General features: G+C 35.7%; 1 protein-coding gene across 5 annotated transcripts in view, besides 1 other annotated feature; it reads left to right on the forward strand.

Annotated features, from left to right (window-relative positions):
• The window catches only part of SPINK5 (serine peptidase inhibitor Kazal type 5), a 73403-nt gene extending 65178 nt beyond the window's left edge, over window positions 1-8225 (forward strand). For all 5 annotated transcript variants that reach the window (NM_001127698.2, NM_006846.4, XM_047416662.1 and 2 more), the window contains 3 exons: window positions 2102-2232; window positions 4640-4730; window positions 7826-8225. In NM_001127698.2, the coding sequence (NP_001121170.1) occupies window positions 2102-2232; window positions 4640-4730; window positions 7826-7834 (231 nt within the window). In that variant the 3' untranslated portion in view covers window positions 7835-8225. The remainder of the gene's footprint in view (window positions 1-2101; window positions 2233-4639; window positions 4731-7825) is intronic.
• Window positions 16829-17123: a silencer, noted in NCBI's record as "tiled region #6578; HepG2 Repressive DNase unmatched - State 8:EnhW, and K562 Repressive non-DNase unmatched - State 24:Quies". NCBI's record gives its function as "represses a minimal TATA promoter and a strong SV40 promoter by Sharpr-MPRA in HepG2 and K562 cells {active_cell/tissue: HepG2 | K562}" and the evidence as "EXISTENCE:reporter gene assay evidence [ECO:0000049][PMID:27701403]".

Raw genomic sequence — 17476 nt, forward strand, 5'->3', positions numbered from 1 at the left:
TAGAGCTACCTCAGCTGTAGAAGAGGAAGTCAGGAAGCTAATGGGAGGCCATGTTATAAAGGGTTTTGTAGACAATTTTAAAGACTTTGCCTAATATTCTGAATGAAGGTTCTGAGAAGACTAATATGATTTGATTTATGTTTTAAAGGAATAACTTTGCCTGATACCTATTGAAAACACTGCAGGGAGGCAAGGGCTGGACAGCTAGTTAGCTATTGCAGTTGTCTACAGAAGAGATGATGCTGGTTTATACCATGTTAGTAGTGGTGGAGCTCTTGAGAGGTGGTAAGATACTGGGTCTGTTTTGAAGGTGGAGTCAACAGAATTTTTTGAGTTGATGTACTATGTTAAAAAAATGAAGAGAGAGAGAGAGTAAGGAACATTGTAGTACCTTTTGAACATTATAGCACCAGTTACCTGAAAAAATACAATTGATATACCTGGTTGAGTCTAACCTTTGCCAGGGTTTCATATAAGTTACTTATCTAAATTCTCTGTGAATATTTGTACCAATATGGAACTCACCACAATCTAAAGCAATTCATTTAGGTGTTTGAATCATTTATCAAAACAAAGGAACAAGTACACAAATACTGCTTGACTCCTCCAAAATGAGTATTAGCAGATATAATACTATTAAATTTTCTATGTCGTCTTTGTATCTGTTTTCAGTAAGTAGTTTTCAAGGAATTTATTAATTTCATCTATGTTGTCAAATTTTTTGGCATGTAGTTATTTATAACATTTCTAAATTATTCTTTTAGTATCTACAGCTCATATAGTGATGACCTGTTATCTCTAATATTGGTAATATATGTTTTCTTGACTCTGGTCAATTTTGCAAATAGCTTATCAACTTATTCTTTTCAAGCAGCTAACTTTTGGCTTTGTTCTATTTTCTATTTCATCAATTTCTCCTCTTTATTACTTATTTTAAAAAATTTTCTATGCTCATCATTGGCTAGCTCCTTCAGATGAAAGTTTAGATCATCCATTTTAGAACCTCTTTCTTTTCTAATATATGTATTAAAGTTATAATTTTCCCCCAAATTACTGCTTTGGCTGCTGGGATTTGATAGGTTGTATTTTCTTTGTGATTCATTTCATTTCTAAATTCTATGATTACTTTGAGTCATGAGTTATTTAGAACTCATCCTTTTACTTATAAATATATTTCTTATAAATATTATATAGTTGATTCTTTTTGTTCTTCCAGTTGGATAATTTCTGTCTTTTAACTGGAGTACTTACTTCTTAATATTCTATGTAATTACTGATACCATTGGATTTAAGTCTTCCATCATCCTATTTGCTTTTGAATACTTTTTTTATATTTTGGCTCTACTTTTTGCCTTTTTAAAAAACTAATCAAGGTCTTGGAATTATCATTAATTATTAAACTCATACTTCCAAAACACTACGAAGAGCAAATATGTTTCTTCTTTTACATGGAAAATATACATATGTTTTTTACCGTGGAAAACATACTAACAACTAAAATTTACTGAACACTTAGTATGTGACAGATACTGCGTTAAGCATGAACTTACATGCATTATCTGTTTTAATCCCTTCAAGCAGTAATATAAAGTAAGGACTACTATTATTTATGATTTTCTGGTGAGAAAATTAAGGCTGAGAAAAGTTAGATAAGTTACTTCTCTAGTTAGTGGTAGAGCTAGGACTCAAAAACTCATGCAATTTATGAGTATTTACCTCTGAGTCTTTCCTTTCTAGGCTGTATATAACCAATACCTTCACTTAAAAAGGCGAATATTATTTCTGGCATGCCTATCATTCTAGATTTCTTCTTATGGGCAGGTAATTGTGTCACATATTATAAAGGATATTTGCTTTCTTATTGCTTTGCTACTCCTTGTTTCTTTGTTTACTTACCTTGTCAAGTTAAAAATTGCCAAATACAGGAAGTTAAATCCACCTCATATGGTGCAAAATCAATCTTTGAGTTTGAATAACATATATCACACTCCTTTTACAACCATTTATTCAAGTTGGATTAAGGAACTCAAGAGGTTTTCTTAAGCCCACCCCTCTTCTTGAATGCCATAAAGTACGTCTGCTTTATTTTTTGCTTCTTCAGGATTCTGAGATGTGCAAAGACTACCGAGTATTGCCCAGGATAGGTTATCTTTGTCCAAAGGATTTAAAGCCTGTCTGTGGTGACGATGGCCAAACCTACAACAATCCTTGCATGCTCTGTCATGAAAACCTGTAAGTATTCAAGTTGCCCCATCATATCTTCCAGTTTAGAATTTCTCAGCTAGAGTGTTAACCCATAGTAATGCACTGATATAAATTCGAAATGTGTTGCAAGTAATTTATTCATCATAGAAGTTAAAAATTCAAAATTTGTGAATTATCTTTCTTATATGTAAAATAGAAAAGATTTAAGGCTATTCCTTTGGTAAATTGCTTACCTACATTGTTATATGCTCTACTGAGAAGAAGAGAAAGAAAAAAAATAGTGGAGTTACAATTGCAGAATATTGGTATAATCCTGTGTACAGTCATGGGAGTGTGAACATCATTCATTCTGTGTGTAGTGGAGAAAAACAGTAGAGAACTACTGCTATATAACCCAGCCCAGTGTATTATATCTAAAAGGTCCTGTGACTATAATATAGCTACATATTCCCCATTTCTTTAACCCTGCCTCTTGAAAGAAGTAGTACCTTGCAAAAGGAAAGTGCACTGTACAAAAGAAAGCCCAATAAATAAATAGCTGATCTGATGTCTGCTCTCATATTTATGACTATCTGGGTATCTGGAGGCATATTATTTCATGATTCTGAATCTCACTCCCTTCATTGGAGAAATGGAGACAGTTCTCTGAGCTGCTGACTTCACAGATGATTGAAAAGAACTGCTAGATATGAAAATATTTTTATCTTAAGTTAAATACAAGGGATTCATTTTAATACTCTTATTATTGGCTTTAGTTTTGTTGTTGCTACTCTGCTCAAATGCTGTCTGAATTTTAAAATAATTTTTAAATAATTTCCCCTTGTCTCTATATGCATCCCTTCCCTTCTCCTGGCCACCATTTGGCCAGCTTTCAAGGAGAGAATGGTGACAAACCTTGGTTTTCCCATCTCACCTGACCCCAGACCTACATTGTAGTACTACTTTATCCTTCTTAGGACACTATAAGCAAGGCCCAGAACATGAGGATAGGACTCCCTGATATCCTGCTTTTTAATCCTGGAAAAATATTTAAAAGAATTCATCTTTTAGGTAAGGTATGGTAGATATAGGTAAGGTATGGTAGGTATGGTATGGTAGGTATACTTCATCTATAGGTAAGGTATGGTAGATAAGGCACTTTCAGATTTCAGTCACTGAATCCCTGCAACCTGCTATGGAATGTTATTATCTTTATTGTTCAGAAGGTTAATCTGAGGCTCAGAGAGTCCAGGTAATTTGTTTAAAGTTACAAAGCTAGGGAGTAAATCAGACAGGATTTTGACCTTATTGATTTGGATCTAAATACAGTTTTCTTTTTTCTCCACTAAACTACTGTTATTTCTAAGACAGTAGTTCCTTAAATTGTCAAAGACCAAAGATTCCTTAGATAATATGAAGAAAGTTACTCCTTTCAAGAAAATTTAAAAAAATGTGATATGAACAATCCACACACATAATATTCATAGGCTCGTGGAGTACTTGAAATTCATCTGTAGACCTTATAGGTTTTTAAGAATTAAGAAATTCCCGTTTAAGGAATAAATATAACTGTCCAGGAATTCCATTACTATATATACCTTATCTCCAGCCCAGAAATCCTTTAATTCCTCTTTCTTATAAATGTCAGGGCCTAAATTATCCATATAATTTTCTTCAACATTTTCATCAACTTTATAGACCCATAACAAGTGATCTTTTTAAGGGAAATTTAGCATAAGAAACTGAAATGATGAAAATATTAAGAAAGCATACCTCAGGATAGTTTGTTTAGCTAAGGGAGCTGGGAGTAGATATTATAAAGAAGGATCAGGTTATCTGAGGCAAAAGGAAACAATATTCATTTCTAAGGTTTTAGAGAAAGTTATATGAGAGCAATTTCAATTTAAGCAATGCTAAAAGACAAATTGCACTGCCTTGATAGATAATGAGTTTCCCATTACCAGAGGCAAACAAGTACATGTCTGATTCATAATATTTCTCCAGTGAGAGGCATTAAAATTCGTACTCCTTAAGATTCATTCCAACTACAAAACTCAGACTGTATCATTTGTGTCTTGTTATATTTTTCCCCAGGTCGTATTATTGGTACTCAATATAGTCAAACATCTCTCTGGGATCTGATTCTCGCATCTATAAATGCGAGATCACCTTTAGACCAGATGATCTCCAAGTTTATTTCCAACATTCTCTATGAATATATCAGTGAATGAAATGTGACAGGATAGGTCCAGGGCTAGGGGATGAATCTGGAGCAGAAGAGAGACAGCCTGGATGATACCTACTGAAAATGAAAGTAGTTGAATGCAGATCCCAGATCCTCCCTCTAAATACAGTTTGGTTTGATACCCAAGTGTCCTGCATGTTGGTCCTTATTTATTTTCTTATTATAACTGAGAACTTCCTCGTTGTTGAAGCATCCTCTGATCTGTTTTAGGATACGCCAAACAAATACACACATCCGCAGTACAGGGAAGTGTGAGGAGAGCAGCACCCCAGGAACCACCGCAGCCAGCATGCCCCCGTCTGTAAGTACATAAGTAGACTGGCCTCCATGGTTACGTTGTGAGGAGCACTGGGTTCTGGTTTTGTTCTCTTCCACTGAGTAATGGACATTTATCTGGCCAGAGAGGTGACACTAGGTCAGGTGACCCAGAATTGGTCACATTTTCACTATAAGGATAATTAAGTAATTACTGAAATAAGTGGAAATAATGTAGCAGTTAATATTTTAAAATATTTAATGGGTCCATTAATAGATTGTTTATGAGCAATGTCTCCAACATAACGTTACTTATTTCAGGATAGGTTTTGTTTTCTGTGATCTATAATAAAAAGATGAGACAGAGACCAAGAGAGGTCAGAGAGTGACAGAGTTGGATTTAAACAATTTCTATATAATGCCCATATTCTTGAACTTTACATTGTATTAAATTATTTCCCAGCATTAAAAGTTGACCAATTTCATTTAAACTCCTGAAAGGATGTTTCAACGTACGTTACTGAATTTAACATTCTCCCTGGTGGCTATTTGAATAGTCATCCTCAGGGAGATGGTATGTAACATGAAAAAATAGGAATTTTCAAATAAGAGAAAAATGTTTTGTTATGGGATAAATGTGAGTGCAAATTTCAGTTTTTGCTGTGCTTATACGAGACTCTTGGCAAATCACATAAATACTCTAAACCAAATATCCCAATGACCTATGAAAATATTCAATAAATACTGACTTTTATGCATTTGGCACAGTGTCTGAAAAATTAATGTCACTATTATTATTATGCCTAAGACCAAAGTATGAATTTAGAAAAAGAGTCGAAAGTATGAACTTTTTCTAACAGACCATGGTATAGTGCTTATTTATTTTTAATAAATTATTGTCAATTGTAGTTTGATAAAATTATGTGTAATAAACAATATTTTAATGCATTATATTTAATAAAGCTATTTATTATTATTCACATTCTCTTTGCTCCATTCCACTGCCACAAAAAGCTTTGGCAATAATGGAATCAGAAACTATTCAGCCAGATTTGAAAATCTTAGTCAAGCAATACTAGATAAGGCCATATTAAAAACGTCTGCCCAACAATCTTTGTTAAGGGAAATTGTGAAAACAAGAATCATAAGCTAGAGTCTTCCTAGTTTCACATTAGCAGCTGAAAGCAATGTAGAGGAAGCCGAGGACTGGAATGAAATCAGAAGACCTTATCTTTCTCATGTGGGCTTGACAAAGTTATTTACCACCCATTTAAAGACCTCTACTCTGGTTCTTTACCAGGATCCATAAAAAGGGAGTTTAAACTTTAACTCTAGTCCCTATATTGTGTTTGCTGTCTTATTATATAGAAATTCTTAGTAGTTGGCTCCCATTTTATTGACAGAATATACTGTTCCCCGTCCTCACAAACTCACCTTTACATATATCTCAGGAGAGAAAGGTCAAAATAGCTTTATGCCAGTCCAATAGACCACACCTTAGACCACACTTCCCTGTAACTCTCATCCTGTGTAGGCAACTTGGAAAAACTACTTTATAAAGAACTTGCCATAGGTTTATACTGATAAGATGTATTTCTTTAAATAATGAAGAATGTTGCCGGGGCTTATCACACAGGGTGTTGTAAAAGAGTGCCGTTCTTCCATTTCTGAGTGTATGCTTTCCACTGGAGTTGCATAGCAGGCATTAATAATGACAGAAATTATTATGCTGTTAGTTAATGAAACAAAAATTAACGTGTCCTGGACACAGGTGGAACTTCAGTCCCTGTGTAAGATTCAAGTGTGTGATCTCGGGTACAGTTGGTACAGACTGGTCATGGCCTAGCATTGTTCTGATGACTAGTAAGGATGTATATATTGGGGTGGAAGCCTGTTGTTTGAACTTTATTTCTGGGTGGAAGTTTCTCTAAGAAAGTCTGGAATCTCAAGAATAGAATAAGAGTCCAGGCAGTCACAAGTTTCTTGGAAAAGTAGGTTGAGTATCTTGGAACCCACTCTTTTGTTACTAAGTACATAATACTTTCTATTATGCAATAACTATTATACAGTAACTACTAAGATTTACATAGGTCTTTAGAGTTTTATGTACATTTTCTGTTTGTACTCTTACAATAGTCATTTGATTAGGGCAGGGATCACTGTCTTTCCCATTTTACAGAAAATCATCCTGGGGGAAACTGTCACTTATTAAAGTCCCTTAGTATAATATCTTGGGTTCAATGTAGATATCCTGACTTCAATTCCAGTGCTCTACTACCATTCCTTAGTTGTCAGGAGATTCTGAAAACTAAGTGCTGTTGAGAAGGCATTATCTCAATTAAAAGATGATTTGCTATATTGGAAGGAAATTTCTATATTAAGAAAAATACAAATATTATTTTGTGAGATAAATGACTATTCTTATCTATATCTGTCAATTTCATGACAGATTTTCAAGGATTCAGGAAAACCGAAGCTTGCTACTTTCAAACCAAAGAAAACCTCCTGGAGTTGATATAGGCAATGAAGTGGAGATTTGAGTTTGGAATGACAGTGCTGCTCGTGCCCCAGGTGGTACTAGTTGAAGATGTGCAGTTATGTGAAAGAAAACTTCCTGAGGCCCTCGCCCCCTTTAAGATTATTTTTAAATATTCATTTAATGTTTTAAAGGCTGATTTCAAATATATGGATGAGTCAGGCAAAGGAAGACAGCTGATTACATTCTAGTGGTCTACAACAAACTATAGTAGAAAAACATTCGTATTACAGGAAGTGAATTCAAGTTATGACGTAACATGACAGTGGCAAGTTACTAAACTTCTCTGAAGCTCAATTTCCTCATCTGCAAAATGGTGCTAATGACACCTACTTCTTTTTTATCAGCATGAAGGCTGCATGTAATCAAAGGCAGAATTAAGCCATGTTCATATTTGTGTCCACCTCAACACGTAGTACATACTAGGTGCTCAATATTTGTTGTATCAAACTGGATAAAATGTGAAAGTGATTTTAAATTGCTACTTCTTTGCAGAATGCAGGATCTATGGATTTCTTTGATTAAGATGCAGCTATAAATATACAGCCCACATTTCTGCAATATCTCTGGGTTCTAGCATCTAACCTACCCATCTTCTCTTCTAGGACGAATGACAGGAAGATTGTTGAAAGCCATGAGGGAAAAAATAAACCCCAGTTCTGAATCACCTACCTTCACCATCTGTATATACAAAGAATTCTTCGGAGCTTGTCTTATTTGCTATAGAAAACAATACAGAGCTTTTGGGAATGGACTCACTGATTTTCAGTCTTTTCCATCTCTTTCCTCCTAGACTCTGTGATCTGAGGGTATAAAGACATCTCCACCAAGTCTGAGCCCTCAAAATGTCCTGATTACAATGCTGTCTGTCCAACTGCCTGTTCAATAAAAGTAAACTCAGCAGAACACCCTTTCTGGGATTTCTTTGTCACTATCTGGATAATAGATATTTGCTTTTAAAGAAACTGAATAAACTCTACCCTTTTGTCTTTTTGTGTTGCTAAACCCATTGGTGGACAGAGAATGTTCACTTTTTTCCTGCTTAAGTTGCTGTCATAGCTGAGAAGGACTGTCTAGAAGAGAGGTGGGGAGATATGGGTTCCCATCAGCCAACAGCTATACAAAGTTAAACTAGCTATAAATCAGCTTCATCTTAACTATTCATTACCATACCAGCTCCCCTTTCTACATTTTCATGAATGGGATAACTGCCTCTCGGTTATTTAGGTCCCATCCAAACACATAAACCAGTAAGTTTTCATGTCTATTCATTAAGTTACCTCCTGACAATTTCCTTGTACCCATAATCTGGGAAGAACTAAGAAAATTAATTACCAATTTGTGTAAGCCTCTAAAGTGGCACTCTCCAATAGAAATGTAATTTAAGCCATATATGCAATTTTAAATTTTCTAGAGGCTACAAATAATTAATAATTATAAAAATATTAATTTTAATAATACATTTCATTTAGCTTAAGATATCAAAACTATTAATGTAATCAATATAAACTTTTAAATTTACTAAGTCTTTGATTTTGGTGTATATTTTACACTTACAGCACATCTCAATGTGGACCAGCCACATTTCAAGTACTCAAGAGATACATGTGGATAGAGGTCACCGTATTAGGCAACGCAGTGCTGCCATGAGCTAATGGACGTGGGAAATCAGAGGAGGAATGCAGACACTAGGTAGGGGTGGATGAAATGCTTGTAAGCACCTTCCTCTATGCTGAAACTCTGTAAATCCCTACTCTACCTAGTCGCTTTGTTCACTTGAAAATTCTGGGCTAGTTCTGAAAACACTCCATAGGGAGAAATTATATGGAAAATCCATTTTGCTGCAAGATGTTCTCAGCTCCAGAAGAACTAGCCTGATGGGACGGACTTACTTGGATTTGGGAAGTTAATTTGTTATTTTTCTCCTCTTTTTTTTAAGTCTCTACTAGCTCAATTAAAATATCTCTGGGTTCTAGCATCTAACCTACCCATCTTCTCTTCTAGGATGAATGACAGGAAGATTGTTGAAAAATATCACCAAACCCTATTTTTCCTTTGTAACTGAGTGAAAATAAATTATCCCTTATGCTGCATTCTTTTCTATGTTACATTAAGAAAAAAAGAAGAAGGGCCAATAAGTAATTTTTTCAAGCATGAGAAATTCGGAGTAATTCCTGTTGAATTATTATTATTATTTGGCAATTTCAGGATGTATAGGATGGGTTCAGAGTGCCCATGACATATGAGATTTTATCTTCTTCATGTTCACTTATAGGAAATCCAGAAAAACTCTTTTTCTGGCTAAAACATATGTTTTTCTGAGAAGGTGTTTTGTTATGTCATTTTGAATATTTGATTAGAATATAAACACAAACCCTTTATATTTATTTTATTATTATTAATATACTCAAAAGACATTCTTATCCTGTCCTTAAGACTTAACCAATTTTTGGTAATCACTCCGAGTACAGAGAAAGAGTTTGGCTTAGGGATAGAGTGGGGTAGAGGATATAATAGTCTGGAATGGGATGAGACAAGGAAATGAGGAGAAGCGCAGTGACCTCAGGAGTAAGAATCAAAGGTGGAGGGCAGGGTGGGTGCAGAGGTCAGGAATAGAACATGACCAAGGAAAATAAAGTAGAAAATACTGTGAGGCTCAAGGATTAGGGTTAAGAGAGTGAATGTGTAGAACACATTGCTTGTGATTTAAAAAGCTAAAAGTTGATTTATTTTGGGGTGTATACAAATTAGGAGTGTATATAAAATGGAATCTATGTCAAAATGGTAACAAATAGCTTCACTAAATATCAAGTAAACTAATCTTTGGGTTACTTAAGTTATATCCTGATGGACAGGAGGTAAATGAAAACCAGACCTATCTCACTGAGGCTTCAAAACTAGATCTAAAATTCTAAACCAGAAGGTGATGCTGAGATGGGACTAAAGAAAGCCAAAATACTTCTGTCAGCCCCATCTATCCACTACTACCAAATAGTTATGCATTTCTCTGTATAATTTGATCTTCAGATTTCATTTTGCATTAAGGGTGTTCAGAGATCTATCCCTTTGAAACTCTTATTTTCTCATATTAGAAGTCCTCCTGAAGCCTTCCCATTTCTTTCAGGCTTCAGAAATGCCTAAGGATGTGGAGAAAAGAGCACGTTTACATACTTTAGATGAAAATATAAATTATTTTAAACTCTGTGGAAAACAGTACGTAGACATCTCAAAAAACTAAAAATAGAACTACCATTTGACCCAGCAATTCCACTACTAAGCATCTACCTAGAGGAAAATAAATCATTATATTAAAAAGACACCTGCACTAGGATGTTTATCACAGCACAATTCACAGTAGCAACATCATGGAACCAACCTAAGTATCCATCAACAGTTGATTGGATTAAAAATGTGTTTTATATGCACCACAGAATTCAATGCAGCCATGAAAAGGAAGGAAGTCATGTCCTTTGCAGCAACATGGATGGAGTTGGAGGCCATCATCCTAAGTGAACTAACTCAGAAACAGAAAATCAAAGATTGCATATTCTCAGTTATAAGTGGCACTCATAGACATAAAGACAGAAAATAAACTCTGAGGACTCCAAAAGGAGCGATGGGAGAGGGATGAGGGTCGAAAAATTACCTATTCGATATAATGTTCACTATTTGGGTGATAGGTACACTAGAAGTCTACCATTATACAATATACCCATATAATAATATGCACATTTACTCATTGAATCTAAAATTAGAAATGAGACAAAACTTCAAGTTACCTCTGGAACCAACAGCAAATAATTCTGTAGTTGATTAGTAATTCCTGCCATAGGCACAGGGAGAAGTAAAAAAGGCAGGAACATCAGGTATTTGCCATCCCACAATAGGGCAGGAACTTAGGAACTGAGCAGATCTAAGCTCAAATCCTGACTTTGTCACTCACTAACTCTATGACAATGAAAATGCTACTTTATCTCTCTGGGTCTTCATTTCTTCTATAAAAGGGGGGCTAATAATTTCTACCTTACAGGTTACAATGAGGATTATATTATATAGTTTATGAATGCCGTAAACTGAAGATCTCATATACATTAAGAGCTCAATAAATGCTTGTTATCATTATTTAATATAAAAACAGTAAGGTGTCAGAATTTTCCCTATTCAATAAGCTCTCTAATTCAATTAATTTCCCTGTGATTTTTTTTCTGTTTTAACCTCCAAAATATTTTTGACAACATAAATTTTAAAAAATTATAATTTTAGAAAATACAAAAGTATGCATGGTTTCTAATTTTCTTGAAACATACCATTTTCTTCACCAGTTTTTAATCTTTTAAGTAAGCACTCATGTCCTGTGGATATCTTGGATCAGGATTTGCTGTTGTTTATTTGTACCTAATTTTCACTCTAATAAAATGGATTGGATACTATAGCACAGTATTAAAGAAAAAAAAAGAAAGAAACTAAGGAGAGCGCTTATCTAGACTATGGATCTCCAAACCTTTCCTGTAAAGAGCCAAATTGTAACTATTTTTGGTTTTGTGTAATATATATTCTCTTTTGTTGCTGCTATTGTATAAACAAATGCAAATAAATTTATATTATGTAAACATGTTCCCACAGCTATGTACCAATAAAACTCTATTTACAAAGGTACATGATGGGTTGGATCTGACCCTGGGGCTGTAGTTTCCCTGGTGCAGACCAACTAACTCAGTAATGGATGAATGTCTGGCTCTTGTCCTTATTTGCAACTTGTCTACGCTTTGTGCCTTTCCACACCTTCAAACACCAACAACATTCTTCATTTTACGATAATAACAGTAATAATTTTTAAAAGTTCACTTTTATAAAAAACTTAATATGTGCTTGAAATCAAGAAAAACACATAGAGAAGCTCACATTTGTACCCCAAATCTATGTGCTATTTTATGGATTGAATATCATTCCCCCAAAATTTGCAGGTTAAACCCTAGCCCCCACAGTAACTGTATTTAGAGATAGAGCTATTAGGGAGGTAATTAAGGTTAAATGGAATTATAAGGGAAAGACCCTAATCTAACAGGATTGGTGTCCTTATAAAAAGAGGAAGAAACACCAGAGATCTCTCTCTGAATGTGCACAAGGAAGGGTCATTTGAGGACATAGCAAAAAGGCAACCACCTGTAAACCAGGATGAGAGCCTTCACCAGAAACGGGATTTTCTGGCACCTAGGTCTTGGACTTTTCGTCTCCAGAGTGTGAGAAAATACATTTTTGTTGTTTAAACCACCCAGCCTGTGGTACTTCGTTATAGCAGCAGAGCTAACTAGTGTAGTTGTGGCCTTCCTGATTGACTTTGACCAAGGTTACTCCAATATCTAACCCAGTTAGATTATGAATGAGTCCTCAAATGACACTCGCTGAGGACCTTACTAATGATGATGTCCCAAACTGCTCTTTTCATAGAAAGAAGCAGAATAGGACATCCTGTTCTTTCCTGGGCACCATCCTGGCACAGAGATCCCCTTTTCTTTCCAGTACTGAAATTAATCTTTTAAGTAAATAACATATGACAATAAATCATTCTTCAAGCATGAAGAGAGAACAGAGAGAAAGATTGTCACTTTTTGATAGGTGCCTGGAAAAAACATCAATTAAAATATTTTTCTTTCTTGATAGAATTTTCATTTGACCATGTAAAAGTTTTTCTTGGATTATTTTGAGGGATGATGCGCTGTCTTGCTGCAAGTCATTCTAGGTACTTTATTTTAATTTGCTATAGTGCTTTTAACTATTTCTCAAGTCTATGGACATCTTGCATTCTACATTATTATTATTATTATTTTGAGATGGAGTTTCGGTCTGGTTGCCCAGGCTGGAGTGCAGTGGCACAATCTTGGTTCACTGCAACCTCTGCCTCCTGGGTTCAAGCGATTCTCCTTTCAGCCTCCTGAGTAGCTGAGATTACAGGCGCGGGCAACCACGCCTGGCTAATTTTTTGTATTTTTAGTAGAGACAGAGTTTCACCATGTTGGCCAGGCTGGTCTCAAACTCCTGACCTTAGGAGATCCACCTGCCTCGGCCTCCCAAAGTGCTGGGATTACAGGCATGAGCCACCGCATGTGGCCTCTACCTTATTTTTTAACATGTATTTTCTACCCTCTTTCTCACTTCAGCAGACTTTTGCGATAGCCTTCTGCAATACACTTGTTTGTAATACGAATAATTCACATTCATAGGGGAAGGAGGTCATGGAAGACTTTCAGAATAAAGCTGCATCTTTACTGAGATGAGAAAAATTAGTATAGAGTTTGGAGAGACAAAAATTCTAAAATGGAAGGAAAAAGGGGAAGAGAAGGACCAAGAATGGATAAAGTGGTTGTGCTAGGAAGAGGGGGCAAGTGTAGAAGGGAAGGAGAGCAACACAAGGGCTGTATCTTTTACAATTTGTTTGTTTTCAAATGACCTCTTCAAAACACAGATCTGTTCAATTTCCCAACTCAAATTGGTTGAAAAATCCTACTCAGCAGCCAAACTTCATTAGAACAAAGCAAAACTAGGCAAACCTGAAATCTATGCATTCTCCTTGTCTTCCTCTTTCAGTTTTATCCTTCATGTAATCACAAAATTTGATAAACATTTGGTTCCAGCTATCATCCTTCCTTCCTGATTGACTACAACAGCTTTTTTTTTTATTATTATACTTTAAGTTTTACGGTACATGTGCACATTGTGCAGGTTAGTTACATATGTATATATGTGCCATGCTGGTGCACTGCACCCACTAACTCGTCATCTAGCTTTAGGTATATCTCCCAATGCTATCCCTCCCCCCTCCCCCCACCCCACAACAGTCCCCAGAGTGTGATATTCCCCTTCCTGTGTCCATGTGATCTCATTGTTCAATTCCCACCTATGAGTGAGAATATGCGGTGTTTGGTTTTTTTGTTCTTGCGATAGTTTACTGAGAATGATGATTTCCAATTTCATCCATGTCCCTACAAAGGACATGAACTCGTCATTTTTTATGGCTGCATAGTATTCCATGGTGTATATGTGCCACATTTTCTTAATCCAGTCTATCATTGTTGGACATTTGGGTTGGTTCCAAGTCTTTGCTATTGTGAATAATGCCGCAATAAACATACGTGTGCATGTGTCTTTATAGCAGCAAGATTTATAGTCCTTTGGGTATATACCCAGTAATGGGATGGCTGGGTCAAATGGTATTTCCAGTTCTAGATCCCTGAGGAATCGCCACACTGACTTCCACAATGGTTGAACTAGTTTACAGTCCCACCAACATTGTAAAAGTGTTCCTATTTCCCCACATCCTCTCCAGCACCTGTTGTTTCCTGACTTTTTAATGATTGCCATTCTAACTGGTGTGAGATGGTATCTCATTGTGGTTTTGATTTGCATTTCTCTGATGGCCAGTGATGGTGAGCATTTTTTCATGTGTTTTTTGGCTGCATAAATGTCTTCTAAACAGAGCCCTCAGAAATAATGCCGCATATCTACAACTATCTGATCTTTGACAAACCTGAGAAAAACAAACAATGGGGAAAGGATTCCCTATTTAATAAATGGTGCTGGGAAAACTGGCTAGCCATATGTAGAAAGCTGAAACTGGATCCCTTCCTTACACCTTATACAAAAATCAATTCAAGATGGATTAAAGACTTAAACATTAGACCTAAAACCATAAAAACCCTAGAAGAAAACCTAGGCATTACCATTCAGGACATAGGCATGGGCAAGGACTTCATGTCTAAAACACCAAAAGCAATGGCAACAAAAGACAAAATTGACAAATGGGATCTAATTAAACTAAAGAGCTTCTTCACAGCAAAAGAAACTACCATCAGAGTGAACAGGCAACCTACAAAATGGGAGAAAATTTTCGCAACCTACTCATCTGACAAAGGGCTAATATCCAGAATCTACAATGAACTCCAACAAATTTACAAGAAAAAAACAAACAACCCCATCAAAAAGTGGGTGAAGGACATGAACAGACACAACAGCTTTATAACAGATCTCAGTGCTGTACTCCTTTCTCCTTCATTCCCTTCTCCCCTGTGGTAATTATCTAAAGTTAGGATTTGATGGTATTGTGCTTAAAACCTTGAAGTGGCTTCTTCTGACACATGAATGCTCTGTTTACCTCTTCAGCCTCAACACTTGTGTTTCTCTCCTTCCTGTCTACACTTGAATGATTTTCTTGAAATTGTTTCCACATGTCCCCTCTTCCTAACATAACCACTCTATCCATCCCTGCTCCTTCTCTTCCCCTTTTTCTTTCCACTTTAGAAATTTTGCCTCCCCAAACTCTATACTATTTTTTTTCATCTCGGTAAAGATGCTGCTTTATTCTAAAAGCCTTCCATGACCTACTTCCCCATATGAATGTGAATTATTTATTCATTTGTTATGCTCCTATAACACCCTGTTCTTACACCTATATTACCCACTGTCACTGTTTACTAGCTACTTATTTACAAGTTGGTCTGTCTCACTGGAATGTGACTTCTTTAAAAAGAGACAGTTTATTATTGTTTTTATCCCTACTGCTGAATGCGATGCTGGGCATGAAGCAATTGCTCATTAAAAGTTGTTGAGTAAACTTAGACCTTTAAGATAAGAATTTTAAAAGGAAGTAATATTTAGGGCAGACACTCTCAGTTCTGATCAGTAACATAAAGCCTCTACAAGGATAGAGAAGGGAACTTATTTTTCAAAGAACTTAGGGATTCTGCATTCTCTTCCAGGTACAGATTAAAAATTGTTAGCACTGATGGAAACAGCTGGCATTGTTGGAAATAAGCTAGCTCCATGAAATATGAACTTATGAAATGTACCCATCTCCCTCTGAAGAAGGCTATAATCATGAGGTGGTTCTCAGAAATACTAGATAAGCTGCAGCTAAAAAGGAGGGCAAAGAGTAGCATGACCCCAGAAAAAAATATCCTGTTAAGTGTATTTTTTTTTTTGTAATTAACATTGTACTTTCAACTAATTAATTGTTTTTTATTAGCTAAATACATAATGTGTAGTTGACAAAGATCTCAATCAGGAAAAGGTATTTCTTTAAGGTTGATAAGATCCTGGATTGACAGAACTGGAAGAGACTTAGAGATAATTTATCCAATATCCTTAATACATGGAGATCCTGAAGCTGAGAGGAACAGTGATTTTCTGAGCAAACCTAAGTGAGTATAAATCAGAAATAAAAATTTAAGTGAATGGCTTGTAATCTCATGTTCTTTACACCACATCCTTTAGCCTCATGAATCCTAGTCTTGTGTTCTCTGTATAAATAATATTGTCTATCTGATTGTGTTTTCAGGCAAAAGGAATGGAATTTGTATTCAGTGATCTTAGAAAATTGTTAGTTATCTGCAGAAATGGTCACTTCTGCTTATTTGTAGAATATTTCAATTTTATATCTACAGGACATGAGGTAGAAAAAGTACACTTGTAGATTTAATCCGCATATAGCAATGGGGTTAGTGATAAAAAGTGAATTCCAATGCCTTGACTTACATGAAAGAAATCCACAGGGTCAGTTATACAATGAAAGGCTGTCAGCTATTATATTCTTACTTTGGAATCAACTTTGTTCCTGTAGTTTTAAGTAAAAAGAGTTGGCAGAAATTCTACTGCTAAGATCTCTAAAAGTGAGCTCTTAAACATATTTGCTTATGTTCTAGCCTTTGTTTGTAGAACAGGCATTGAGGAGTTGAACAGGAAATGTCACATTCTTTAGCCAGGAGCTATTCCTATACACTCAGAAGCAGCAGCTGGATGAGCTCCAGCTGTAAGGGTTTACTCAGGAACTTCTGGTAGGGATGCTCACCCTCAGATTAGCTGTCTTAGTTCATTTTGTTTTGCTATACAGAATATTTGAGGCTAGGTAAATTATAAAGGAAAGAGTTTTTTTTTTTTTTTTTTTTTTAGCTCATTGTTCTACAAGCTAAGTTCAAGAGCATAGCACCACATCTGGCTGGCTTCTGGTGAGGCGACATTCTGGGTCAAAACATGGTGGAGAAGCATTAAAGTGAGTGGCATGTTCAAAGAGATCTCATGGCAAGAGAGTAAGGAAGAGAGAGAATCTAGGAAGCTGAACTCAATTTTATAACACCTGCTTTCTGGTAACTAATCCAGTCCTTCAATAGTGAGAACCCACTCACTACCAAGGGAGGACATTAATCTATTCATGAGAAATACATATATTTTGGGGTTCTCCAAGGCTCAAACACCTTCCACTAGGC

This window comes from Homo sapiens, chromosome 5 (assembly GCF_000001405.40).
Source record: "Homo sapiens chromosome 5, GRCh38.p14 Primary Assembly".
NCBI lineage: Eukaryota > Metazoa > Chordata > Mammalia > Primates > Hominidae > Homo > Homo sapiens.